Below are 27,779 nucleotides of genomic sequence, written 5' to 3' on the forward strand. Positions count from 1 at the left end.
TCTCAAGCCTGTAGTCCCAGCACTTTGGGAGGCCGAAGTGGGTGTGTTACCTGAGGTCAGGAGTTCGAGACCAGCCTGGCCAACATGGTGAAACCCTGTCTCTAGTGAAAATACAAAAATTCTCTGGGCCTGGTGGTACACGCCTGTAATCCCAGCTACTCAGGAGGCTGAGGCAGGAGAATTGCCTGTGCCCGGGAGACGGAGATTGCAGTAAGCCGAGATAGTGCCACTGCACTCCAGCCTGGCCCACAGAGCAAGACTCTGTCTCAATGAAAAAAAAAAGGGAAAATATATCAAGATGTTAATAGAGTTGCCACAAAAATGGAAAATACCACTGAAATGCCGAACATTTTAATATGCTGCACTTGAAATTTGTTATAAAAACTTTCATGCGCTGCACTTAACATTTGCTAGAAAAATACTAAGAATAAATTTAATTTCAAAAAAATTTTGGAATAACCATGGCAGCTTTTATATGTGATATATTTAAGTTAAACTAAACTTTGAGTACTAAATTTCATGTACCTAAACTAACATAATGACCTTACCTAATATTAATATCTTCCTGCCAGAAGATTTCTATAGTCTCAAGTTGACCAGTACATTTATATTCCTATGTCTAGAAATAATGGAGGGAAGACTAGCAGGGCGTGGGAACCTAGAAACTTAGGATGACTGAGATTTATAGGTTATGTTAGGGGGACTGGAAAGTCAGAGAAATAGTCATTTGGGTTTATGAATTTTAAAGTATGACTTATTGAAACAACAATAAAATGTTTACTGATTCAAGTTTTTCCTTAAGAATGCAAGGGAGCCCAGATTAGAAAGATACTAAGATTGTAGGCTTGTACACTAAAGATCTGTAAACAGGAAATTAAAAATTAAGATATTACTAAATTACATAAGAATAAACTCTCTGACTGCCTAAAATTTGGAATTAGACAATTCTAAATTCCTATCCAGGTTGTCACTTCCAAGTCCTGTGGCCTTGGGCAAGTCATTAATGTTTTTTAAGCATAAGTTTCTCTTCTGTAAATTAGGGATAACAATAGTAAATTACTTTATTCATTTAAGAGGTACTTATTAAGGATCTCCCTCGCTGTGGTGAGGTGAATAGACTATAAGAAGGCAAGAGGAGTATCAAGGAAACAAGGTAGGAGGCAAGAGATATTGGTGTTTGGGCAAGGATTGTCATGGTGGTGGAAGGTGGTTTGATTTGGAGTATAATTTGAAAGCATCAGAGATGGGATTTGATGGTGGATTGGATGAAGAGAGTAGGAAAGGAGTTAAATATCATTCCAAGGTAGATAGTCTGAGCAATTAGGTGAATACAGGTGCTAGCACCAGTGTGTAGAAGGGATTAGGGCTTGGGTTTTAGACATGCTAAGAGTGAGATGCCTTTCATATATCTTCAGGACACGTGTGCTATGATTATATAGGTTGGCTCACTGCACAAAGGGTTAAGGGAACTGAAATCCCCAGCAGTGTCTCTGGGGTGGGGCTGCATTCACTTGCAGGAAGGAACACCTTTTCCTAATATGCACCAAAGCAACCTGTAGGCTACTGGAGGCCTTGGACAGCCAGGGAGGGATTTTTGGGTAGCTCACCTTTGTGTGGTTGACAGGGTTGTTTGTAGATATTCAATATTAATAAAATGAAAAAATGCTCACCAGAATGACTAACATATAGTAGGTGCTGAGTACATGTTAATTCTCCTCCCTTCTTATAGTGTGTAGTTTTATTTTGCTTATCCGTGTACCCTTAAATTCCTAACACTGAGGTAGCTTCTTGCACTGGTTAAATCTGGTATTCTGGTGGACTGTTACTGGAGAGGTTTTTTCCCAAGAAATATGAGATGTAAATGACAACAGTAGACAACAGCAGTATTTCTTTGCACCCTTGGAATTTTATTGCACAAGTCATATCTTAATGTGATGAACTTTTAAGAATTTATTCCTTGATTTCTTTTTATTATTATTATACTTTAAGTTCTAGGGTATATGTGCACAACGTGCAGTTTTGTTACATATGTATACATGTGCCATGTTGGTATGCTGCACCCATTAACTCGTCATTTACATTAGGTATATCTCCTAATGCTATCCCTCCCCGCTCCCCTCACCCCACAACAGGCCCCGGTGTGTGATGTTCCCCTTCCTGTGTCCAAGTGTTCTCATTGTTCAATTCCCACCTGTGAGTGAGAACATGAGGTGTTTGATTTTTTGTCCTTGCGATAGTTTGCCGAGAATGATGGTTTCCAGCTTCATCCATGTTCCTACAAAGGACACGAACTCATCCTTTTTTATTGCTGCATAGTATTCCATGGTGTATATGTGCCACATTTTCTTAATCCGGTGTATCATTGATGGACTTTTGGGTTGGTTCCAAGTCTTGGCTGTTGTGAATAGTGCCGCAATAAACATACGTGTGCATGTGTCTTTATAGCAGCATGATTTGTTTTATTATTATTATTATTATTATTATACTTTAAGTTTTAGGGTACATGTGCACAATGTGCAGGTTAGTTACATATGTATACATGTGCCATGCTGGTGCGCTGCACCCACTAACTCGTCATCTAGCATTAGGTATATCTCCCAATGCTATCCCTCCCCCCTCCCCCCACCCCACAGCAGTCCCCAGAGTGTGATGTTCCCCTTCCTGTGTCCATGTGTTCTCATTGTTCAATTCTTCTTTGGGTATATACCCAGTAATGGGATGGCTGGGTCAAATAGTATTTCTAGTTCTAGATCCCTGAGGAATAGCCACACTGACTTCCACAATGGTTGAACTAGTTTACAGCCCCACCAACAGTGTAAAAGTGTTCCTGTTTCTCCACATCCTCTCTAGCACCTGTTGTTTCCTGACTTTTTAATGATCGCCATTCTAACTGGTGTGAGATGGTATCTCATTGTGGTTTTGATTTGCATTTCTCTGATGGCCAGTGATGATGAGCATTTTTTCATGTGTCTTTTGGCTGCATAAATGTCTTCTTTTTAGAAGTCTCTGTTCATATCCTTCACCCACTTGTTGATGGGGTTGTTTGTTTTTTTCTTGTGAATTTGTTTGAGTTCTTTGTAGATTCTGGATATTAGCCCTTTGTCAGATGAGTAGATTGCAAAAATTTTCTCCCATTCTGTAGTTTGCCTGTTCACTCTGATGGTAGTTTCTTTTGCTGTGCAGAAGCTCTTTAGTTTAATTAGATCCCATTTGTCCATTTTGGCTTTTGTTGCCATTGCTTTTGGTGTTTTAGACATGAAGTCCTTGCCCATGCCTATGTCCTGAATGGTATTGCCTAGGTTTTCTTCTAGGGTTTTTATGGTTTCAGGTCTAACATTTAAGTCTTTAATCCATCTTGAATTAATTCAATGAGTAGTTAGCATTTGTGAGATCTGGGATGTTGAATTTCTCTTGACTACTCAGATTATTTTTTTCTTTTCTTTAGCTTTATTGAGGTATAATTATAAAAATTATATATATTTAAGGTATTACAGTGTGCGATTCTAATATATGTATACATTGTGAAATGATTGCCACAATCAAGCTAATTAACATATCTACCACTTCAAATACTTACTTCTATTTTTCATTTTGTGATGAGAATATGTAAAACCTACACTCTTAGTAAATTTCAAGTGTATAATACATTATAGTCACCATGCTGTACATTGGGTCTACATAACGTATTTGTCATAAAACTGCAAGTTTGTACCCTTTGGCCAACTTCTGCCCATTTCTTCCACCCCCTAACTTCTGGTAATCACCTTTCTGCTGAGTTCAACTTTTTAAGGTTCCATATATACATGAGATCATGTAGTATTTGTCTTTCTATGCGTGGCTAATTATACTTAGCCTAAGGTCTTCCAGGTTCATCCATGTTGTCACAAATGGCAAGATTTCTTTCTTTTCCTAAGGCTGTATAATATTTCATTGTGTGTGTGTGTGTGTGTATGTGTGTGTGTCTGTGTATCACATTTTCTTTATCCATTCATCCACTGATGGACACCTAGTTTATTCCTCTATCCCGGGTATTGTAAATAATGCTGCAATGAATATGGGAGTGCAAATATCTCTTCAGGATAATGATTTTTATTTCCTTTGAATATATGCCCAGAAGTAGCATTCCTGAATCATATGGTAGTTCTATTTTTAATTTATTGGAGGAACCACAATACTGTTTTCCATAATGGCTGTATTACTTTACATTCCTAACAACAGTGTACAAGGGTTCCCTTTTCTCCATATCCTTGCCAACACTTGTTATCCCTTGACATTTTGAATGCATCCTATCTGGTGTGAGGTGCATTTCCTTGATGATTAGTGATATTGTGCACCTTTATTTATTAGTTGGCTGTAAGTCTTCTCTGAAAAAATGTCTATTTAGGTCCTTAGTCCATTTTATTTTATTTTATTTTGTTTTTTTCTCTCTCTCTTTTTTTTTATTATACTTTAAGTTCTAGGGTACATGTGCACAATGTGCAGGTTTGTTACATATATATACATGTGCCATGTTGGTGTGCTGCACCCATTAACTCGTCATTTACATTAGGTATTTCTCCTAATGCTATCCCTCCCTGCTTCCCCCACCCCGCAACAGGCCCCAGTGTGTGATGTTCCCCACCCTGTGTCCAAGTGTTCTCATTGTTCAGTTCCCACCTATGAGTGAGAACATGCAGTGTTTGGTTTTCTGTCCTTGCAATAGTTTGCTGAGAATGATGGTTTCCAGCTTCATCCATGTCCCTACAAAGGACATGAACTCATCATTTTTTATTGCTGCATAGTATTCCATGGTGTATATGTGCCACATATTCTTAATCTGGTGTATCATTGATGGACTTTTGGGTTGGTTCCAAGTCTTTGCTATTGTGAATAGTGCCACAATAAACACACGTGTGCATGTGTCTTTATAGTAGCATGATTTATAATCCTTTGGGTATATACCCAATAATGAGATGGCTGGGTCAAATGGTATTTCTAGTTCTAGATCCTTGAGGAATCACCACACTGTCTTCCACAATGGTTGAACTAGTTTACACTCCCACCAACATTGTAAAAACATTCCTATTTCTCCATATCCTCTCCAGCACCTGTTTCCTGACTTTTTAATGATTGCCATTCTAACTGGTGTGAGATGGTATCTCACTGTGGTTTTGATTTGCATTTCTCTGATGGCCAGTGATGATGAGTATTTTTTCATATGTCTGTTGGCTGCGTAAATGTCTTCTTTTAAGAATTGTCTGTTCATGGACTAAGGTTCATGAACAGATATGAACCTTAGTCCATTTTAAAATCAGCTTATTTGTTTCAGCTGTATTTTGAGTTGTATCTTGCTTTTGAGTTGTATGAGTTCCTTATATATTTTGGATATTACTGTGGTTTTAATGTCCTCTCCGAAACTCATGTTGAAACTTAATCCTCAATGTGACAGCATTGAGAAGTGAGGCCTTAAAGAGGTGATTATATCATGAGGGTTCTACCCACATAAATGGATTAATCCACTAATGGATTAATGAGTTGTCAGGCAAGTGGAACTGGTGGCTTCATAAGAAGAGGAACGGGCCGGGCGCGGTGGCTCAAGCCTGTAATCCCAGCACTTTGGGAGGCCGAGGTGGGCGGATCACGAGGTCAGGAGATCAAGACCATCCTGGCTAACACGGTGAAACCCTGTCTCTACTAAAAATACAAAAATTAGCCGGGCGTAGTGGCAGGCGCCTGTAGTCCCAGCAACTCGGGAGGCTGAGGCAGGAGAATGGCGTGAACCCGGGAGGCAGAGCCTGCAGTGAGCCGAGATCGCGCCACTGCACTCCAGCCTGGGCAACAGAGCCAGACTCCGTCTCAAAAAAAAAAAAAAAAAGAAGAGGAACGACCTAAGCACAGCATGTTAGCCACCTTGCCATGTTATGCCCTGTACCACTTCAGGAATCTGCAGAGAGTCCCCAGTAGCAAGAAGGCTCTCTTGCGCCACATGCGCCCCCTCAGCCTTGGACTTTCCATCCTCCATAACTGTAAGAAATAATAATACATTTCTTTTCTTTATAAATTACCCAGTTTCAGATATTCTGTTATAAGCAACAGAAACAGATTAAGACAAATATTAACCACTTATCAGATATATGGTTTGCAAATATTTTCTCCTATTCTGTGAGTTGGCTTTCATTTTGTTGATTGTTTCCTTTGTTGTCCAGAAACAATTTTGTTTGACGAGATACCACTTATTTTTGCTTTTGTTACTGTGTTTTTGGTGTCATCTAAAACAACTTGCAAAGACCAATGTCATGGAACTTTTCACTGTTTTATTATAGGAGTTTTATAGTGGCAAGTCTTACATTAAAGTCTTCAATCCATTTTGAATTGATCTTTGTGTATGGTATATGATAAGGGCCAATTTCTTTTTGTTTTTGCATATGGATATCCGGTTTTCCCAATAACATTTATCCTTTCCCTATTGGGTATTCTTGGTAACTTTATTTTCTCCCATGTTAATTTTCTGTGTGGATGCTCTATTCATTGTCAATAATGGGTTACTGAAGTCCGCTACGGTTATTATATTGCTGTTTCTCCCTTCAGTTATGTAAATATTATATATTTAGGTGCTCTGACATTATGTGCATATGTACTTATAATTTTTATATCCTCTTGATGAATTAGCCCTTTATAATTATATAGTGAGCTCCTTTGTCTCTTGTTATAATTTTTGACTAAAAGTCTATTTTGCCTGATGTAAGTATAGCCACCCCTACCGTCTTTTGTTTTCCATTTGCATGGAGCATCTTCTTTTCATCCCTTTACTTTCATTCTATATGTATCCTTAGAGCTGGAGTGTGTCTGCTACAGGCAGCATAGATAGTTGCAACTTGTTTTTAAATACATTTAGCTACTCTGTGTCTTTTCATTAGAAAATTTAATCCATTTACGTTCAAGTAATTATTGATAGTTAAGGACTTAATATAGTTATTTTCTTGGTTGTTTTTTGGCTGTTTTGTATATCCTTTCTTCCTTTCTTCCTGTCTTTCTTTGTGATTTGCTGATTTTCTGTAGTGGTATGCTTTAATATCTTTCTGTTTTGTGTATCTAGTATAGGTTTTTGGTTTGTGGTTACCATAAGCTTACATAAAACATGGTTTCAACAGTCTATTTGAAGCTAATAATAACTTAGATTATTAAAATAGATTACATACAAAAACTCTACATATTATTCTCCCTACTTTTTACATTCTCAGTGTCAAAATTTACATTTAAAAAAATTGTATATTCATTAACAAATTATATACTTTTAATATTTTGTCTTTTAACTTTTATATTAGCATTAAAAGTTATTTATATACCATCATTACAGTATTAGAATATTCTGAATTGACTGTATATTTACCTTACCAGTGAATTTTATACTTGGATATGTTTTCATTTTACTAATTATTGGCCTTTCATTTCAGCTTGAAGAACATTCTCTAGCATTTCTTGTAAGGCAGATCTATTGGTGATAAACTCCCTCAGCTTTTGTTTGTCTGATAAAGACTATCTCTTTCTCAGATCTGAAAAACAGCTTTACGGGTAAAGAGTTATTGGTTGGCAGTTTTTTTCTTTCAGCAAATTGAATATATCATCCCACTATGTACTGGCCTAGAAAATGTCTGCATAGAAGTGCTAATATCCTTTTGATGTACCTTTAAATGTGATATGCTTCTTTCAAGATTCTCTCTTTAACTTTGATTATTGACAATTTGACATAATGTCTTGGAGAAGTCTTCTTTGGGTTAAATACAATTGGAGAGTTTTGAGTTTCATATATCGAGATGTCTATATCTCTTCACAGATTTGGAAAGTTTTTAGCAATTATGCCTTAAATAAGCATTTATTCTATTTTATTTCTCTTTTCCTCTGAGACTCCAATAATGCAAAAAGTTAGCTCCCTTGATGGTGTCCCATAAATCTTGTACATATTTCTTCATTTCTTTTCTTTGTGGTTTTTTTTTTTTTTTGTACTCTGACTAGATAATTTTAAATGATTGGTCTTTGACTTCTCTTATTCTTTCTTGTACTTGATCCATCATCTTGGAAGCTCTCTATTTCCTTTTTGTTTTAGTTTAGGCATTGCACCCTTCAGCTCCAAAATTTGTATGGCTCTGTTTTGTTTTTTTTTCTCTTTGTTGAACTTCTACTTTTGTTCTTGTGTTGTTTTCCTGATGTCATTATATTGTTTGTGTTGTCTTGTAGCTCACTGAGCTTTCTTATAACAATTGTTTTGGATTTTTTTGTCAGGCAACTGGTGGATTGATTTTTAGGCAAACCTTCATTTTTGGGGGTTAGTTACTGAAATATTATTGTGTTCTTTTAGTGGTGTCATGTTTCCTTGATTTTTATGACCTTGAAGTCTTGTCTTGTGTTTTCACATTTGAAGAAACAGTCACCCTGTTCAATATTTGTTTGTGCCTACTTCACAGGTGGGATTTTTTCCCTTTTTTGAGAGAAAATCTCACTCTGCTACCCAGAGTGGAGCAGTGGCATGATCGTGGCTCACTGCAGCATCAAACTCTTGGGCTCAAGCAATCCTCCCACCTCAGCCTCCTGAGTAGCTGGGACTGCAGGTGTGCACCGCCACATCCAACTGATTTTTTTTTTTTTTAGAGACGGAGTCTCACTATGTTGCCCAGGCCAGTCTCGAACTCCTAGTCTCAAGAAGTCCTCCTGCCTCGGCCTCCCAAAGTGCTGGGATTTCAGGCATGAACTACCACACCCAGGGTAGATGGGATTTCTAAGATTGTGCTTTCTCTCAATCCTGCAAAGCCAGTCCAGGTTCTGAGAGCCTTCCCTTTGTTTTCCCTAGGGTGGTGCTCTGGAATTCTCAAGTTTGTGTCCTTTTTTCCAATCCCACAAAGTCAAACTGACTGTGAGATGTTTCCTTTTGTTGTCCATGGTGGCTCATTTGGGGACTCAGCCTAGATGGGAGAGTGAAATGTGTGAAAGGCATGCCTGTGGGTCAGTAGTGCAAGGAGCATAGGTCACGCATCTCAAATGGCAGGCTTTCTGATGAGGCTTTCTGATGAGTGGGTTCTGCAGTCTCTTTTCCCTGCTCCCAGCCTCTCCTAACCATTCAACTATGCTGATCATCTCAATGTTCTGGGTGGAGTGAGAAATAAGTGGGCTTATCGGACAGCATCCTGAATGGCTGGGGGATGTGGGCACTCATTAAGTTCTGCACATTTTTTCTGTGGGAGAAATTGTGGGCCAAGTGGGTCTGTCTCAGCATTGAGTTGTGCCACCTTGGGGGAGGAGTGATGTGGGTAAAGTGAAACTGTTCTTCTTACCCTCTTTAATACATCTGTTCTAGGATTTTATAACCTGACAGCGTGCTGGAACTTCTCTGCTGGACTCCTGGACTCCCACAATGGTATTGTCTCATCTGTGGATAGTTGTCTAAATTGATGCTTCTGTGTGGGAAGAAAGCTCCTATTCTACTATTTTGCTGATGCCTTTCTCTCATATTACTTTTGTTAAATAATTAGGAGTTGGATAGGAGAGGAATTGCATAGCTTTGGGGAAAATGGTGCCTCATAGCGTGATGGTGAACATTTGTGAACATTTCTCAGAATATTCTGTAACTACTTTGATTTCTTCTTCTTTTTTAAATTTTGGTCAGTTTTTATAGCCTTTTATGTTGTGGCAGGAAGAAGCCTGATTTTCCTTTAATTTTACAAAAATCTCTACATATACTTACCTCGGTTATCATATGAAGTGTCTAGAGAATTGAAGAAAAATTATAAGATTCTTAATTTCTCATAAACAGACTCCTATATTAATTTCTTAGCAATACAATAATTTACCACTTTGTGTTGAATATGCATGTCGGGATCCTAAAAGAGAAGATAAAAACATAATGAGATTTTACTTCAACAAGTGAGTCTATATTATTTTTTGTTAGATAGAAATCTGTTTACCTCTTCCTCTTTTAGATCTCTGAGAAGAAAAATCTTTTAGGAAAGAAAAAAACATATTAACTTTACCAACAGTTCATGAAAAAATAAGTTTATCGGGCCGGGCGTGGTGGCTCACGCCTATGTTCCCAGCACTTTGGGAGGCCGAGGCGGGTGGATCACGAGGTCAGGAGATCGAGACCATCCTGGCTAACACGGTGAAACCCCGTCTCTACTAAAAACACACAAAAAAATTGGCCGGGCATGGTGGCAGGTGCCTGTGGTCACTGCTCAGAAGGCTGAGAGAGGAGAATGGCGTGAACCCGGGAGGCGGAGCTTGCAGTGAGCCGAGATTGCGCCACTGCACTCCAGCCTGGGCGACAGTGCGAGACTCCGTCTCAAAAAAAAAAAAAAAAAAAAAAAAGTTTATCATTAGTCTCAATCCAACTACTAAAAGATTTGCTAGTTTCCCAGATATTCCCATTTTCTTTAGGTTCCATTTCAGAAAATAAAGAGGGAATGCCATGGCACTGTGCTCTTCACTCTTGTTGTTCATGATAGATGAATCATAGAGGTAAGAAGGAGAAGGATGGACCAAGAGTCCAAGTGTGGGGCATGGACAGCAAGCGAAGTGACTGAGTTACTTTCTCTTTTCTTTCCTCAACTCTCAGGGATCTATATGCTTGTAGCGTGTGTGTGTGTGTGTGTGTGTGTGTAATTATTTCCACATCCACAATCTCATAACCTTATAGTTCTGGTGTAGCTGGTGGGCCTGGTGTGGACAACTTTAGTGGCTTCCAGCAAGAATGAGAGGTAGCTCTAGTGGTTCTTGTTGAGTTCTGGAGATAGGACTAGTCAGAAAGAGAGAAAGAGGGAAGGAAAGAGAGAGAGAGAGAGAGAGAAAGAGAGAGAGAGACAGCCGAGGGAACATCTATAGGCAGCCCTGGTGAGTGGATACTGAAAGAGAACATTGAGTGTTGGGGCGTGAGGGTTAGGGATAGCCATGGTACATTGAAATTAGTGGTACTGGTGTGTCCCTTCAAAAAAGTAGACAGCGCATTGCCGTCTTCTCATAACTCTCACGTTTCAAAACCTGAATTTGATATCCAGCTCCCTCCTCAGCTAGGTGAACTTGAGTAAGTCTCAATCTTTTGAGCATAAATTTCATCTTCTTAAATGGGGATAAGCTTTGTTTACCTCTTCTACTGTATGGCTTTCAAAGTGTATTTTCACATATACTATTCCATTTCATATTCATTTTATCCACATTTTAAACATCCAGGAAATTGTTTCGGAGCGGTTCCTTAACCTTTCTAATATCTTGGAAGTAGACAGAAGATGGAAATGAATTCTTTTGATGGTCTTAAGAAGGAGAACTATTTACCTTTTCTGAGAAAAATGCACAATTTTTCTTGAGAAAGAGAGGAGTGATAAGCATTTGAATATTATAAAAACGAAAGATATGCTGACTCAACAAATCATGCTCAAATGGAGATGAGTTGATTCACACTCTAAAGAGTATATTCCTTCATTAACTGTCTAGTAGTTCCTAATCTATTTACCTCTACCATCCTCATAGTCCAGAAGTCTAGCACCTAGAAAAAAAGGGAGAGCACATGATTTTGCTTCTTGATTATTAAATGAGGCTTTATTTAAGACTCTGAGAACTAATGTAAACATGAACTCCTAATGGTGAATAATGATGTGAATTAATTTACTTTGCAGGAACTAGGAATTGTGCATAAGCTACAAGAGCTGACGATGATAAGTGACTGTGTCAATCACCAATTTTATAATATTAGCCAGGCTAAATGATAGTCAGAAGGAGTTTCAGAGTTTCTTTTACCTCTTGATACTTCAGCAGCTAGTCTCCTGGTTTTTGCCTCATACCAATCCTGTGCTATCTTTCTTAACAACTTTGGCATCTCTCCAGACCTTTCCATGGAAAGTCTTCTTCAATTCTTCACATCCTGAAGTTGGTACTCTTGTCAATCATAATTACCCTAACTGTGTTCACTCTCGTTATTCTAGGATACATTATATTTTTTGGTCCGGCCACTTCACTAAGGCCATCTTCATGAATGGATTTAGGCTTTTTACTGAACCATCTGTTCCAGTGCCTGAACTGGAACAGTTCTCTGTTGCTGCTCTCAGACCACAGGAAGCATCTGAAGGGAGCCTCAGAATTATGCAGGCCTACCCAGTATTAATTAATTCTCCCCAACTCCAGTTTGGCATTCAGTACTGCTCAGAAATCTCTGGTAGATTTCTCCCACTCACTTAGAAGCAGTTCAGTTCATGCAATGGTGCACTATGCAAGGTTCTGGAAACACAACTGTAAACAAGACAGATTTCTTTCCTGACTTGTGAAAATTCTATAAGTACTATATTTATTTTTCTCATGAGTATAAGTACTTACTTTGTTCTGAACTGTATCTGGAGATATACATTTCTGTGGAAGAATTAGGCAAAATGTTTTTATTAGTTACTTAGGAGAAGTGTTCTTCCTCTGATCAAACTCTTCTCACTCTAAGCTATGCTTCTTGCTTACCAAGGTGGTCCTCCTGATATAATGCATTGTTGTTCTCACCCATTTTCCACATCTCCCATCAGCCCTGTTTTACCTATCTTTTCACACTACTTATGCTTTGAGGGCTCACAGGCATTGAGGATGGGAAACAGGGAGGGAATACAGCTGATTAGAAAGTTGTGGGAGAGAAACAGAAAAATCCAGGAAAGAGAGACCTTATGGCATAGAAATAGGTCTTAGCTTTTATGAGCTCCATCTCTATTTCATCGACAAGTACTACTCTGTATTTGTCTCTTCTTATCATCTCCCCAAATTAAGTCACTAAAAGTCTCCAATTCTTTTTATATAATACTAGATACTGGTGTTTAGCAACATACTGTCTTCTCACTTCTATTTTTTTTTTTTAAACTCAGGTAATTTCCCTTGGAGCTCAGGTAATTTTCTTTTAAAATATTCTTATTACTTTTGCTAAACTCTGTGATTTTTTTTTTTTTTTGAGATGGAGTCTTGCACTGTCACCCAGGCTGGAGTGCAATGGCGTGATCTCGGCTCACTGCAACCTCCGTCTCCTGGGTTCAAACAATTCTCCTGCCTCAGTCTCCCGAGCGGCTAGGCTTACAGTTACCTGCCACCATGCCCAGCTAATTTTTGTATTTTTAGAAGAGACAGGGTTTCACCATTTTGGTCAGGCTGGTCTTGAACTCCTGACCTTGTGATCCGCCCGCCTTGGCCTCCCAAAGTGCTGGGATTACAGGCGTGAGCCACCGCTCCCGGCCTGTGACTTTTTCTTTGACATTATTGATAATGTAAACCTTGGGAGTTAAAAGTGCAGGGACAATCACTAATAGGTCAGAGATTCTTTGACTCAAGTATTGAAACAGATTCCCAGAATATTGGCAAAGTCTCTAGCTGTTTGATGAGTGAGATGAACTCAGACTGAATCTTGGCATCCCTCCCTCCGTGGTTTTCACAGGAAATCTTCATTTTGACTCATTATTACTCACCACTTTGCTTACATCGTGCCCATCTTGTTAACAAAATAGCCAGGATGGCAAGTCCCAGTAGAGTCAGGATGACAGCCAAAGTTATTTCTGAAAACAAAAACTCACCTGTAAACATGCTTATTTAGACCAGGAAATTACCAGAAACAACTTCTGATCACCTCTTACTATCCACCAGATAGACTTTTTTTCTTTCCCCTTTCTGCTACTTCAACTCCTTTATTCTTTTATTTGCCGCATATTACTGTCCTCACATTCCCGCCCCTGCCCATTTTTAGCTCTTACATTGGTTCTTTGGTCGTATACTAAGAACCTCAGATGCTGTGTACCCTTGGTTTAGAGTTGGAAATCTGACAGATTTCCTCCTCAGTTGAACCCTTTACTCCCCAGGCAGGAAGAATGTTAAAGGGAATCAGTGGTCTACGAAGCTATCCACTGGGGTATGGGGAAAATATTAGAACTTCTATTTTCTGTGTAATTTTAACTCATACCTTTAAAGTTGCAAGATTTTCTGTATATATATATATATATATATATATATATATATATATGGCTATAAATAAGATTTATAAATATACTTTTATAGGCAATGCATACTCAAAACATTTTTATGAGTGAGTGATCAAAAAACTTTCAGCACCTTGACTGAAGGGTGCTGACTGAAGGTGGTTTTATTAATGAAAGCCACAGCAAAGGACAGAAATTTCTTGTCACAGAAAAACCTTTCAGCCATCACTTGCCAACCTCCTGATGATAAGATGGATATTTGCGAGGTTTGTTATTGTGGTTAGTAGGATAAAATATGCTGGGATTGCTTAACTTGTGTTTGTTTATGTGTCATTGATCTGCATTCAATTGATGTAAGATAGAGTCTTGCAGTCATAGGAGAGAAAAATCTTAGACAATATCATATGGTTATAAAGGGCAGTGGCTATGAAGGATCGGGGGAGAAAAAAAAGAAAAGAGAGAGAGAGAGAAAGGAAAGAAGAAAAAAACAACCATAAAACTGCCTGTGAAAGTAAAAACTCTGAAGAATATTGAGCTCTGAAAGACTAGGAAAGTAGATTACACCCACATTAAGACTACTTCAAACGAACAATAGGTGAATCCATCTCAAGATATAATAACACACCTCCAACCAGGGCAGATTAGGCATTTGTCTACTGAGTCTTCTAGGTGTTTGGTCCTGTGAGAAAATTCTCCTGCCAAATCAACTTTTGGAGATTTTCTACTAATGTACCTCTAAAATGAACAGCAAGTAGTCAATATGCCCTCTATTATGTGAATTTTTTTTTTCTAGTGTTAAATAACTCATCGGGGAGGAAAGGATAACTAGATGGTGTACTCAGTACTACTGTATATTCCTTTTCTTCCTTTAGTGTCTGAAATGCCCTGTCTATAGGGCAGTTAGAAGATGGTCCACCCTATTAATAGGGAAAATGAGAGGAAATCATTATTTCTGAGTTGAGGCAGATTATATAGAGTGACCATGCTACAGGAAGTGAGATAATGGGCTAAGGAATTTTTCCTAGTGCTACGGAGGATGGTTATTTTCTTTGTTCAGTTTAAACTCTAGAAACCAAAGGAGAAACCAGCACTATCAGCCTAGAGCTTAGTTAACTGTGGGTTGTTTCCCCCAGGCTTCCAGAGGAATCAATAAGAGTGAAAGAAAAAATACTGAATTTGAAAAGGAAGCAGGCAAGGAAGATAAAGCAGTTGTGTTAAAGTCCCTAAGTCCCTAAGAGGAGACTCCTGAACTACTAGAGTTGAGGAAGCCTCAAAGAGGGAGTTAGTCCATACCCAAGACTGTCATTTTCCATGTATTGTCTTCATCAGGTCTCGCATCATCTGGATTTCTTTGTCAGAGAGAGATCAAGGTAAAACGAAAAACTCAAGTTCACTGTTTCTGAGCAATATGAACTTGGGTGTCAGGGAGGCCCTTGTAGGCAGAGATGCAGAGGATCACTGAGAAATTGTGTGGAGCAGATTGATCAGACCTAAGCAAATGATGGGAGTGTGGCCTGTGAAGGTTCTAGAATCTGTGTCATAACAGAGACTTAGAACATTAGTGAGGCAGGAGAAAAGGCAGAGGATCAAAAGGCTAGGAAGATTTAATAATGCTTTGGAGGACCTTGAACTTGTATAGGATACTGGAAGGGAACTCACTCTTTCTGGGCTTTAGAATTATTTCTAGTTTTTCAGAGATTTTTAAGGCCAGAGATTGTACATCATTAATCTTTGTAACTCTTTTTTTTAATTTTTTTTGAAGATAGAGTTTCACTCTTGTTGCCCAGGCTGGAGAGCAGTGGCACCATTTCGGCTCACTGCAACCTCCACTTCCTGGGTTTAAGCAATTCTCCTGCCTCAGCCTCCCAAGTAGCTGGGATTACAGGCATGCGCCACCACACCCAGCTAATTTTGTATTTTTAGTAGAGATGGGGTTTCTCCATGTCGGTCAGGCTGGTGTCAAACTCCCTACCTCAGGTGATCCACCCGCCTTGGCCTCCCAGAGTGCTGGGATTACAGGCGTGAGCCACCGTGCCCAGCCTAATGTTTGTAACTCTTGAGGCAGAGAACCTTCCACAGAATAAGCATTTTATAAATGTTTGATAATTAAAAATGAGAAAAATGACTATATTTAAAAAGAGGCAGACTGGATAAAGAAAATGTGGTAAATATACACCGTGGAATACTACACAACCATAAAAAATAATGAGATGATGTCCTTTGCAGCAACATGGATGGAGGTGGAGACCACTATTCTAAGCAAACTAAAGCAGGAACAGAAAACCAAATACCATATGTTCTCACTTATAAGTGGGAGCTAAACAACAAGAACACATGGACACTAAGAGGGGAACAACAGACACTGGGGCCTACTTAAGGGTGGAGGCTAGGAGGAGGGAGACAGCATATCTCTTGGGTTTTATGCTTATTACCCAGGTGACTAAAGAATCTGTACACCAAACCCCCACAACACACAGTTTACCCATATAACAAACAATTACATACATGTACCCTTAAAACTAAAAGTTAAAAAAAGAAGAGCCTTGAAACAAATGAAGGTGAACAAAGGAAGTCAAGTTGTTGGAGTTAGATAGCAAGAAGAAATCCAGTCCAGAGGTCTATGGTGCTAGGAAGAGTGAGCCAGTAAATGGGATCTCATAAGCCACTGTGGAGAACAAGGAAGAGTAATAACACCTTTTATTGAGTGTCTATTGACTACAAAGTTCTATAGTGGGTACCTTATAAGCACAAACTTGTTTAATCCCTAATAAACTGTACGATGAAATTCTTTGAGATGGAGAGAGACACTAGAAGTTACCCAGCCAACAAATGGCAGAGTTTCTGACTCCAAAGCCCACACTGTATTCACAAAGCCACATTTTGTTTCAGTCTTCTATGCATCCTGTGGTGGTGATTTCTAAGTTAAGAAGTCAGTCACTTGAAGAGGAAGGTGATGACTTCTAGTTTTAGGATGCTCCACCTGCCAAAAATAATCTCAAAATTGTTGAGATTATTTTTCCATAAGTGTTTTATGCATACTTATGGAACACCATCAAACATACAAATATATGAATTATGGAAGTACCAAAAGAAGAAAAAGAGGAAGGGGCAGTAAGCTTAATCAATGGAATATTATCTGAAAATTTTCCAAATCTTGAGAGGGATATGAACATCCGGATTGAAGACGATCAAAGCATCCCAAGCAAGTTCAATTCAAAAAAGACATACTCCAAGATATATTATAATCAAATTGTCAAAGGTCAAACACAAAGAGAGAATTCTGAAAGAAACATCATGTGTAAGAGATCTCCCATAAGTCCATTACCAGACTTCTCAACGGAAACCTTGCAAGTCAGTATTTTTAACCTGCAGAATTGCTATTTATTTCTATAATTTCTCCTTCTGATATTCTCAAATTGCTGAGACATCATTCTTATACTTTATTTTTTAGACATGTCTTATTCTGCTAATTACAATGTCTGGGCTTCTTCAGAAACAGTTTCTTTTTATTATTTTCTGTGCATGGGTCATGATTTCTTTTCTCTTTACATGCTTCATTATTTTTTGCTGAAATCTAGACATTTTGAATATTATAATGTTGCAATTTAGAAACCAGATTTCCTCCCTCTACAGAGTTTGCTGTTGTTGCATTTGTTGTATTACTACTTGTTTGTTTGTTTGTTTAAAGATTTTTCTGATCTAATTTTATAAAGTCTCCATTCTTTCCTGAATGTAACGTTTGATGTTTCTGCCCGGTTAGCTTAGTCATTAGCTAATGATTGAACAGAGACAATGCCTAGAACCAAAGCAAACACTATGCTAGTCTGTGCCAAGGAACTCTGTGTGTGTGTGTGTGTGTGTGTGTGTGTGTGTGTGTGTGTGTGTTGAGGTACACCTTCAACATTCAACCAGTCTCACTTTTGCCCCTCCAACAAATGCCCAGTGAATTTGCGCCCAGTAAGGTCCAGGTCACCTTCTTCCTACAGGATTTAAAGCAAACCAAGGGGGATCTTGGCAAGCTTTCAGATGACCCTTATAGATATATAGAGGTTTTCCAGACTTTCACCCATATATTTAAACTCTCCTGGAGAGATGTTATGCTACTTTTGAATCAGACCCTGATGGACACTGAGAAGCAGGCCGCTCTGCAAGCAGTAAAGAGATTTGGGAATGAGCTTTGTATCACATATGGCATCAGGGAAGGGAGCAAACATTATCCAACTGGAAGAGAAGCAGTAAAAGTGAATGACCCTAAGTGGGATCCCAATGACAGGTGGAAGACTGGAAGAGGAGACGCTTTCAGATGTGCATAATGGAAGGCTTTTGTAGGACTAAGACCAAGCCTCTCAATTATACTAAGTTGTCCATGATCGACGAGGTATTTGATGAAAATCCTGCTGCCTTCCTGGAGAGACTAAGAGAGGCCTTGGTAAAGCATACCTGTCTATCTCCTGATTCAGTAGAGGGACAGCTAACCCTAAAGGATAAATTTATTACTCAGGCAGCTCCTGACCTCAGGAGGAAGTTGCAGAAACGGGCCCTGGGACCGGATAGTACATTAGAGGACCTTCTGAAAGTGGCCACCTTGGTCTTTTATAATACAGACAGGGAGGCCCAGGAAAGAGAGAGGAAATACAGGAAAGACACAGAAGCTTTAATGGCCACCAGGCAAGCCCACAAACCCCAGAATTCCCAGGGTACACCTGTTAACTACTAAAGATATGGCCAGAACAGTTATCTCATTCTAAAAGTTTATCCACTCCCATACAAGGTTTAATTTCTTTCACCAGGGTGAAACATCTCAGGGTACAATGTTGTTGTTAGTATATTTCACTTCTTATCTCTGTAATCTTTGGCACTAATTTTTTTTCCTTGTATAATACACGTATTTATTATAGTATGTATAGTATGTATGTATGTAGTTACAGTGTGTATAACTTGGGTATACATACCCAAGTATATATAATCCATGCATACTTAACCTTATAAAACTTGTTTTTTCTCTCACACCTGGAAGCCATCAACCTCCAAATGGTCAGGGAACCGGAGCCTTGGATGATGGCTCCCCTTTGCTAGGAACCCTTATATAGACCTCTGGGAAGAATCTGACTGCCGTTTTCCCCAAAACGATGCCCCTATCAGCAGGAAGCAGCTAAGACCCGTCATCATCCATATTCGAACAGCAGTTAGATGTACCTCTTCAGACAGGGGAGGTGATATAGAAGAGGGGCAGGGAAGTGCTGGTAAGGGAAGGGCATGGTCCCTGGCTAAGGCTCCACCCCTGGGCCTGTGCCCACAGACCTAGGTAAGGACAGACACTCCTGCCTTCATGCCCAAATGTTGCATTTCCCAAGACCACCCTGGCCTGCCATGCCCCCATCCTGTGCCTGTAAAAATCCTGAGACCCTAGCAGGCAGGGACAGAAGCGGCTGGACGTCAAAAGGAACACATCAGTGGAAGAACACACAAGTGGCTGGATGTCAAGAGGGACACATCGGTTAAAGATCATGCCAACAGGAACCAGCAGATGCTGGCATGCTGGCAGGCCATTGACCAGCGGAACAAAATGGAGTTTGGCCAGGGCAGTTGGAGGGGAACCCAGCTGCTGAGCAGCCTGACTCCAGGGGAAAACCACCTTCCCACTCCATCTCCCTTCTGGCTCCCCCATCTGCTGAGAGCCACTTCCACTCAATAAGACCTTGCTCTCATTCTTCAAGCCCACATGTGATCTGATTTTTCTGGTACACCAAGGTAAGAACCTGGGATACAGAAAGCCCTCTGTCCTTGCAATAAGGCAGAGGGTCTAATTGAGCTAGTTAACACTAGCTGCCTATACATGGCAAAACTAAAAGAGCACACAGTAACACATGCCCACTGGGGCTTCAGGAACTGTAAACATACACCCCTAGATGCTGCCGTGAGGCCAGAGCCCCACATCCTGTCCGTCTGTATGCTCTCCCTAGAGGTTTGAGCAGCAGGGCACTGAAGAAGTGAGCCACTCCCGCTGTTGCAAGCCCTGTGAGGGGGACAAGAAGACCTTTCCCATTTCAGTATCTTAGAAGGTGGTAACTGCTGTGAAAAGTGAAAAAGCAAGTCAGTGAAAGAGAACTACTGGCAGCTGCAGTGGGATTTCGATTTAAATAGATTATCCTGGATATACCTCTGTGAGAAGGCAATACTTGGGGGAAGTAGGGTAGACATCTAAGTGGATTTCTGAGTGAAGAGTTTTCCAGGCAGAGAAGACAACTACAGCAAAGACCGTAAGATAGGAATGTGTCTGGTGTTTTCAAGGAATATGAAGTGGCCAGTGTCACTGGTATGAACTGATCCAGGAAAACAACAGTAGGAAAATAAGTTAGAAAGATAATGGATCAGCCAGGCATGGTGGCTCATGCCTGTAATCCCAGCACTTTGGGAGGCCAAGGTGGGAAGACCCCTTGAACCTAGGAATTCAAGACCAGCTGGGGAAAGATGGCAAGACCCCGTCTCTACAAAATAATAAAAAAATTAGCCAGGCATGGTGGCATGCACCTGTAGTCCAGTTACTCAGAAGACTGAGGCAGGGGAAGACCCTTTGATCCCAGGAGGTTGAGGCTGCAGTGAGCTATGATTGTTCCACTGTACTCCAGCCTGGGCAACAGAGCAAGACCCCGCCTCAAAAAAAATTGTAACATCTAGTGAGCTACTGACAGGACTTTGATTTTAACTTGAATGAAATAAAGAGATAAGATGGGTCATTATGTAGGCAAATGACACGTTTTTACCTATGTCTGCATAAAGACATAAAACAATTTTGCTGCTGTGTTAAGAAAAGACAGTAGTGGGAGGAAAAGAAGAAGCAAGGAGACTACTGTTAAGAGTTATCCAGGCAATCATTGACAGTACCTTTGTCTAGTTTGTGAACTACTAAAGTGGTGAAATGCATTTAAATTTGTAGCAGTATTTTCCCCACTGGGGATAAGGGAATGACTGCCAAAGATTGCCAATACCTAGGCATTAAGGAGAACATAAATATAAGTATGGAATTTCATGCAGACCAGGGTTAAAGGGTCTAAGGATACACCTGAGACAATGTCTGAAAACTAAGGAAGGGAAGAAAAGTGAACAGAAATAGAGTTAAGTGGGAGTAGTTGTCAGAAAAGAAAGTAATGTCTAATTATACAGCTGTTTATTGATTAACAGAGGGCTTCTAAAGGGCAGTTATTTAGATAAGAACTTCTTAGATGAGAGTGCAACTTCGCTGAGCGTAGTAGATTCTAATCTTAGGCCCTTTGCCATAGACATTTTCTTTCCCTGATGATTTTTTTAAATCCATATTTTATATCTGCAAACACATTTTTCTTTCCCTCAGGTTCCAGAATCTGTGTCTCAAGCCTACGTGGCTTAGATGGGATCTAACAAGAAAAGTCTGTCCCCTCTCTGGGTTACTGGGTCCAACCAGTTGGCAAGTTTTAGCTCTGATTTTGTTTCTTAACTTCTAGAATAACAGAAATATAGGGTATCTTAGTATTTCAATGACAAACTCTGACAAAAGGATATATATCAGAGGTGGGGACTTTCAACAAATATTGGACTAGAGCAAATAAAACTGTCATATGCAGTTGGCATTATTGTGTATTTAGAAATTGCAAGAAATACTACAGCTAAATTTTTGGAATTAATAAGTTTACCAAGGTTATTAAATACAAGAATAATATCCAAGAACCAACACATTTTTATAAGACAGAAATGAAGAGAACATACAATTTGAAAAGAAAATACAATTCACATTATCATCAAAATTACACACTACCTAGGAATACATCTTTTTAAAAAGTTCAAAATATGTGGATTAAATGTAAAAAAACTTTGTCTTATAGATATCCAGATATAGCTATAGCTCTCTATAAATAAAGAGGCATGTATAGTTTTTAGAGTAAAAATAAATACATATTTTATTTTATTTTATTTGCTTGCTGCAAAACTTTTGTGACATATTGGCTCCTTAAGCAATATTTGGAAACAGGGTAATACTGTTGAGAAAACAAACATATTACATTTAGAGATTCGAAATGAGAATATATACTTTACAAATTAAACCACATACTTTGACATTTTCTTTAAAAACTACATTTATAAATTGTATGGTAACACCAATGTTTATCTATTCCCTGGGCCAATCTACTAAATTATCATGATATGGATAATAATCCTCCATGGCAATGTCAAAGATGGTATTTAAATAGACATTTGATAGATAGATAGATAGATAGATAGATGATAGACACACACATAAAATTTGTTTGATTTTGTGTTTTTATTATTTCTATACCTGGAGTCAAGGGGTTAACTGAGCTAGGTGCAATCTGATTCTTTTTATTCTAAGTAAAATAGCCAGGCACAGAAAGACAAATACTGTGATCTCACTTATACATGGAATCTAAAAAGTCAGACTCATAGGAGTGGAGAGCAGAATGGTGATTACAGGCTGGGGAAGTGGGGCGAATATGGGGAAGATGAGAAGATGTTGGTCAAAGAGTACAAGGTTTCAGTTACACAAGAGCAATATGTTTTTGAAATATATTGCTAATAATAATGTATATTTTACAAATTACAAAGAGGAAATTTCAGTCTGTTAACCAAAAAAAATTGATAAGCATGTGAAGTGATGATTATGTTAATCAGTTTAATTCAATCATTCACTATATAGCTTAATTTAATAATTCCACTATATATAATATATAGATTTATTTTTATACTTTTATATATTTGTATATAGTTATATATATCTATGAATATGTAGTTATATATTATTTATATATAGTTACATATTAGTATATATATTTATAGTCTATAAATATATGTAATATATAATATACATTATGTTGTACATAATATATATGCTGTGTATGAAATATATATAAATAGTTTTGAGGTACATATATCTGTCAAAACTTGATATTATGCCTCATAAATATATATATTATTTTCTATTATAAAAGAAAATATTAAATATAAATCAAATTTATTTATATACCAGTAAAGCATATAAAATTATATAAATATTGAAAACAAACCTATGTAAATATAGATATACCTCTTTATTTAAAAGACTTCCTACAGCCATGGATTGGAAAACTTAATATTACTAAGGTGACAATATTATCCAATGTGATAGGGAGATTCAATGTAATTCCTTACCAAAATCTTAATGGCATTATTTTTTGGATAGAAATAGAAAAATCTCTCTTAAAATTCATGTGGAACATAAAAGGACCTCAAGTAACCAAAACAATCTTGAAAAACAAGAAACAAATTTGCAGGACTCTCACTCCCCAGTTTCAAAACTTAATACAAAGTTACAGTAATCAAGAGCACATGCAGCACTGGTATAAAGAAAAATACAGAGACAAATGGAGAAGCATTGAGAGGCCAGAAGTGAACTCTCAATTCATTTACCACGGGTGCCAAGACCATTCAATGGGGAAACGGTGGTCTTTGACAAATGGTGTTGGGAAAATTAGACACCCACATGCAGGAAGAATGAAGTTGGATTCTTACTTTAAGCCATGTGCAAATTCAATCAAATTGAACCAAAGACCTAAATTTAAGTGATAAAACTGTAAAACTCTTAAAAGAGAACAAGGGAAAAATCTTCATGACTTTGGATTAGGTAATGGCTTCTTTAAAATGACACCAAAAGCACAGACCACAAAAGAAAAATTACATAAATTGGGCTTCGTAAAAATTAAAAACTTTTGTGCATCAAAATACACTTATCAAGAGAGTGAAAAGAAAACCTACAGAATTGTTTGCACAGATGCAAAGATTCTAATTAAAACAGTAAGATAAATCTAGTAAAAAATACATATAATTAAGTGTAGTTTAATCTTAAAAATATAAATTTTGTAATACATTAATACAATTATGAAATTATATACCTAATATAAAGCAAAAACAAAATTAAAAACAAGAAAATAAAAACTATATAATCTTAGATGGCACAAACATTTTAAAATAAAAGTTAATATCCACTCATGATTTTAAAAATAAAACAACAGCAGCAACAATATCCTCTAGCAATGTAAGAATAGAAGAAAATTTTCTGAGTCTACTAAATAGTGCCAGGGAAGAATCAAAAGCTAACATCAATAACAGTAGTGTTGTATTGCTCACTTTACCCCTAAAATCGAGAACAAGAAAAGAATGTCCTCTATTAGTACTTCCAGTAGTGAGGAGGACCTGGCCAGAAGAATAAAGCAAAATAATTAATTAATTAAAAGTAATAAAGATTGGAAAGAAAGAACACAGTATTGTCATTCACACATAATGTGCTTAAGTACTTAGATAATCGAATGGAATCTATAAAACCACCAAACTTCTAGAATAATTAATCAGGGATTTTAGCAAGGTCTCAGTGTACAAAATTAATAATGAAAATAAATTTTATTTCCATACATTAGTAATTAACATTTGGAAAATGAATATATCACTTACAATAGAATCAAATAGTATAAAATTCTTAAGAATATAGTTAACAAAGTATATGCAAGATACCTACACTGAAAACTGCAAAACCCTTCAGATAAAAATTTAAAAATACCTACATAAAGGAAGAGACCTAACAAAAGTGTTGTATCTAGACTATTTGAAGAATTTCTTCAACTTCATAAAAATATTAAATAATGCAACAAAATAGAACAAAGATTTGAATGAATATTTCATAAATGAAGATAGATGACTAAAGAATTCAACATAATCATCAGGAAAATGCAAACCAAAATGAGTTATTACTTTACACTCACTGACCTGGATATAATTTAAAAGGCTGAAAATATCAATTATTGGTTATGTGGAGTCACTGAAACTCTCATACATTGCTTATTTGAATGTAAAATAGTGCAGCCACTTTGGAAAACTGATTTGTAGTATTTTATAAAATTAAACACATACCTACTCTTTGACCCAGACATTGTATATGGAATGAAAAGTATAAAAGAAATGAAATATGTGTCCACAATAGACTTGAAAGAGAATGTTCATAGCAATTTTATTAATAATAGCCCAAACCTAGAAACATCCAGGTATCCATCAGCAGAAAAATGAGTGGAAAAAACTGAAGCATATTCATAAAATGAAATTCAACTTAAAATATTAAAAGAACATACACAGCAATATACATGATCTCAACATTATATTGAATGAAAAAAATTAGATACAACAGAGCAAATAGTGTATTATTACCATATGAAGTTAATGAAAAGGCAAAACTAAACTTTGATGATGGGAATCAGACTACTGGTTGCCTGTGAAAAATTAATGTTCTTTGTTTGGATTAAGGTATGAATTACTTGGGTGTATTCAATTGTTAATACTTATAATCTGTGCTTGTAAAAATACATGTCTGTAAATTATACTTCAATCATTTAAAAAAGAGAGATTACAAAATTTTGAGTTTGAGAGTAGAAATTCAAGCCTAATCTTCTTGAGCCTTTTAAGACTACTGGGTTGAAAGGGAGACAGACCCTAGCTTACTTTATAACACTGATGATATAGATTTGAGGTGAGAGAAAAAAAATATTTTTCATCATCCTAATGAAATTTATGTCTTCTCACATCCACAATTTTTTTCAATCTCATGTCTTTGGAAAATCCTGCTTCGCAAATATGGAAGAGAAAGCTATACCCTCCCCTCTAGGAATCAGAGGTTGTCCTAACGTCCTCTTTCACATCATTCTCTTCTATAAACCCAGTGTCCTTAAAATTAGTTAGGCCTATAGTCAAGTAAGCCTGTAATAATAAATATAGTAAGTGGAACTGCCAACCCTGTCTTTCCTAATCTTTTGAATTAGCAAAATATCCTTTATCCAAAGGGAAGAAAAGAAATCCTGTGTCAGGAGGACATAATTGCTATCTCTCCAGAAAAGAATGCCAATCCATGTATCTCTCTCTTTGTTTTTTTAGAGAGAGAGACAGGGTCTCTCTCTGTCACCCAGGCTGGAGTGCAGTGGTACAGACATGGCTAACTGCAGCCTCTATCTCCCAGGCTCAAGCAATCCTTGTCCTCCTGCTTCAGCCTCCTGAGTAGCTGGGACTACAGGCATGTGCCACCAAACTCAGCTAATTTTTTGATGTGTGTAGAAATGGGGCCTCACTATGTTGCCCAGGCTGGTCTCAAATTCCTGTCCTTAAGCTACCCTCCCATCTTGGCCTTCGAAAGTGCTCGGCTGTTGGGATTACAGGCTTGAGTCACCACACCAGCCTCCCTCTATCTAGAAACAGAATAAAGGTGAGGGGGTAGGTAGGCAGGATTAAACAAACAAAAAACACTGTCCTCTGTGAATGATCGATTCAACCAAATTAAAGACCATGTATCAAAACCCTGCACCATTCTCTCTACTGACAATCACACTCTTGCATAGTCCCTCACACTATAGCAGGAGTGGTCTGTATGACCAGTTGACAACAGCAGAAATTATGGTATGTTACTTCCTATATTAGGTCATGAAAACATTAAAGTCTTCCTTCTTCTCCCCCACTTCCCTCCCCTCTTCTCTCTCTCTCATCATCTGTTCTGGGGGAAGTCAGCTGCCAAATCTTAAAGACACTCAGGTGGCTCGGTGGAGAGGCCTATTGGTGAGGAACTGAAGCCTTCAGTCAACAGCCATGTAATGAGCCTTCTTGTAAAGAGACCCCCAACCCCAGTCAAGGATTCAGATGGCTGCAGCCCCAGCCAATGGCTTCACTGCAACCTATGAGAGACTGAGCCAGAGCTACCCAGCTAAGCTGCTCCAAAATTCCTGACCTGTAAGATAATATGCAATTGTTGTTTTAAGCCACTAAGTTTCCAGGTAATTTGTTACCAGTAATAAATAATTAATTCACTAAGAATCTGTCATAAGTGTGGCTTCTCTCTGGATTATGATTACTCACTTACTACAGTGGTTCCCAAAATGCAAGCCTAAGCTGAATCCTAGTAGTTCTTCTTTGAATGCAGCAGCTTTGCCCTTGATACATGACTTTCTCTCAGTTCAATTGTATTAAATATTTGAAACACAGAAATGCCTGCCTGGACCCTCACCATGAATCCCCATCCCTTCTGATACCGGAATCTGGTTGCTATTTCTAGAACATTTCTCATCAAGACATTATCCTAACTTATGGTTTCATTGCTAATTCATAGACACTTGTCCCATTATAGAGATCTAGTGATTTCCATGTGAGATTTTTGCCCTCACACATGCCAATTCCCCTTGTTCTACCTGTTTACCTAACATCAATCAGATGTCAATAATGGAAAAGAAAAAAATCAAGAAGTAGGAGCTTAAGACACTGTGTACTGGCAGGGCTATTGCTTATTTCTGCCGTACCCCTCTTTCTTGTCATCTCTTAGTTCAGATGCCTTGGCCCTGTGCATAGTGTGCTCTATCTCATGAATCTGAAGTAAAGAGAATCAAAAGGATGAAGAGCTTTAAATCTTTTGACAACATTTAAGAGAGAACAGGAAATTTTCCTCCCTTTTCCTGGAAGTCTTTGCTGATGAATGAAAAATTGGGTTTCCTTTATGTAACCTGTCGATGGGGAGGCAAAACTTGTCCAGAAAAAATAAAAATGTTCTCACTGTGCTATGTTACTAGAATTGTGATCTGAAGCCTGGAGCAGAACTTACCTATGCTACTCATCTCAATCCTTTTAGGCAGTGGCACTAGGAGCCTTACTCTGTTCAAATTTGGTGCCTTCCTACCGTTATGGAAGGAAGCTCTGTATTCTCCTTACTTTCTCAACCTTTGATCCTAACAGAGGCAGTTTCTTTTTCTTTTTTTTTTTAATTGATCATTCTTGGGTGTTTCT

At 38.0% G+C, this 27,779-nt stretch overlaps 1 protein-coding gene and 1 long non-coding RNA gene across 6 annotated transcripts in view; one reads left to right on the top strand and one right to left on the bottom strand.

The window, feature by feature from the left end:
• The window catches only part of TSBP1 (testis expressed basic protein 1), a 79,206-nt gene extending 63,754 nt beyond the window's left edge, over window positions 1–15,452 (bottom strand). For 2 of the 4 annotated variants that reach the window (NM_001286474.2, NM_006781.5), the window contains exons 1-6: window positions 15,243–15,452; window positions 13,446–13,532; window positions 12,331–12,363; window positions 11,474–11,506; window positions 9,822–9,851; window positions 9,716–9,736 (exon numbers count right to left, since the gene is read on the bottom strand). In NM_001286474.2, the coding sequence (NP_001273403.1) occupies window positions 9,716–9,736; window positions 9,822–9,851; window positions 11,474–11,506; window positions 12,331–12,363; window positions 13,446–13,532; window positions 15,243–15,255 (217 nt within the window). In that variant the 5' untranslated portion in view covers window positions 15,256–15,452. Of the gene's footprint in view, window positions 1–9,715; window positions 9,737–9,821; window positions 9,852–9,935; window positions 9,969–11,473; window positions 11,507–12,330; window positions 12,364–13,445; window positions 13,533–15,242 lie in introns of all 4 variants that reach the window. The other 2 variants (XM_024446307.2, NM_001286475.2) reach the window with 2 other exon arrangements.
• The window catches only part of TSBP1-AS1 (TSBP1 and BTNL2 antisense RNA 1), a 152,558-nt gene that overhangs the window by 101,279 nt on the left and 23,500 nt on the right, over window positions 1–27,779 (top strand). The window contains exons 3-4 of one of the 2 annotated variants that reach the window (NR_136244.1): window positions 9,329–9,388; window positions 26,513–26,819. This is a non-coding gene — a long non-coding RNA (TSBP1 and BTNL2 antisense RNA 1). Of the gene's footprint in view, window positions 1–9,328; window positions 9,389–26,512; window positions 26,820–27,779 lie in introns of those variants that run through there. The other variant, NR_136245.1, reaches the window with a different exon arrangement.

The sequence above is a fragment of the Homo sapiens genome, chromosome 6 (assembly GCF_000001405.40).
Source record: "Homo sapiens chromosome 6, GRCh38.p14 Primary Assembly".
NCBI classification, from domain to species: Eukaryota; Metazoa; Chordata; class Mammalia; order Primates; family Hominidae; genus Homo; species Homo sapiens.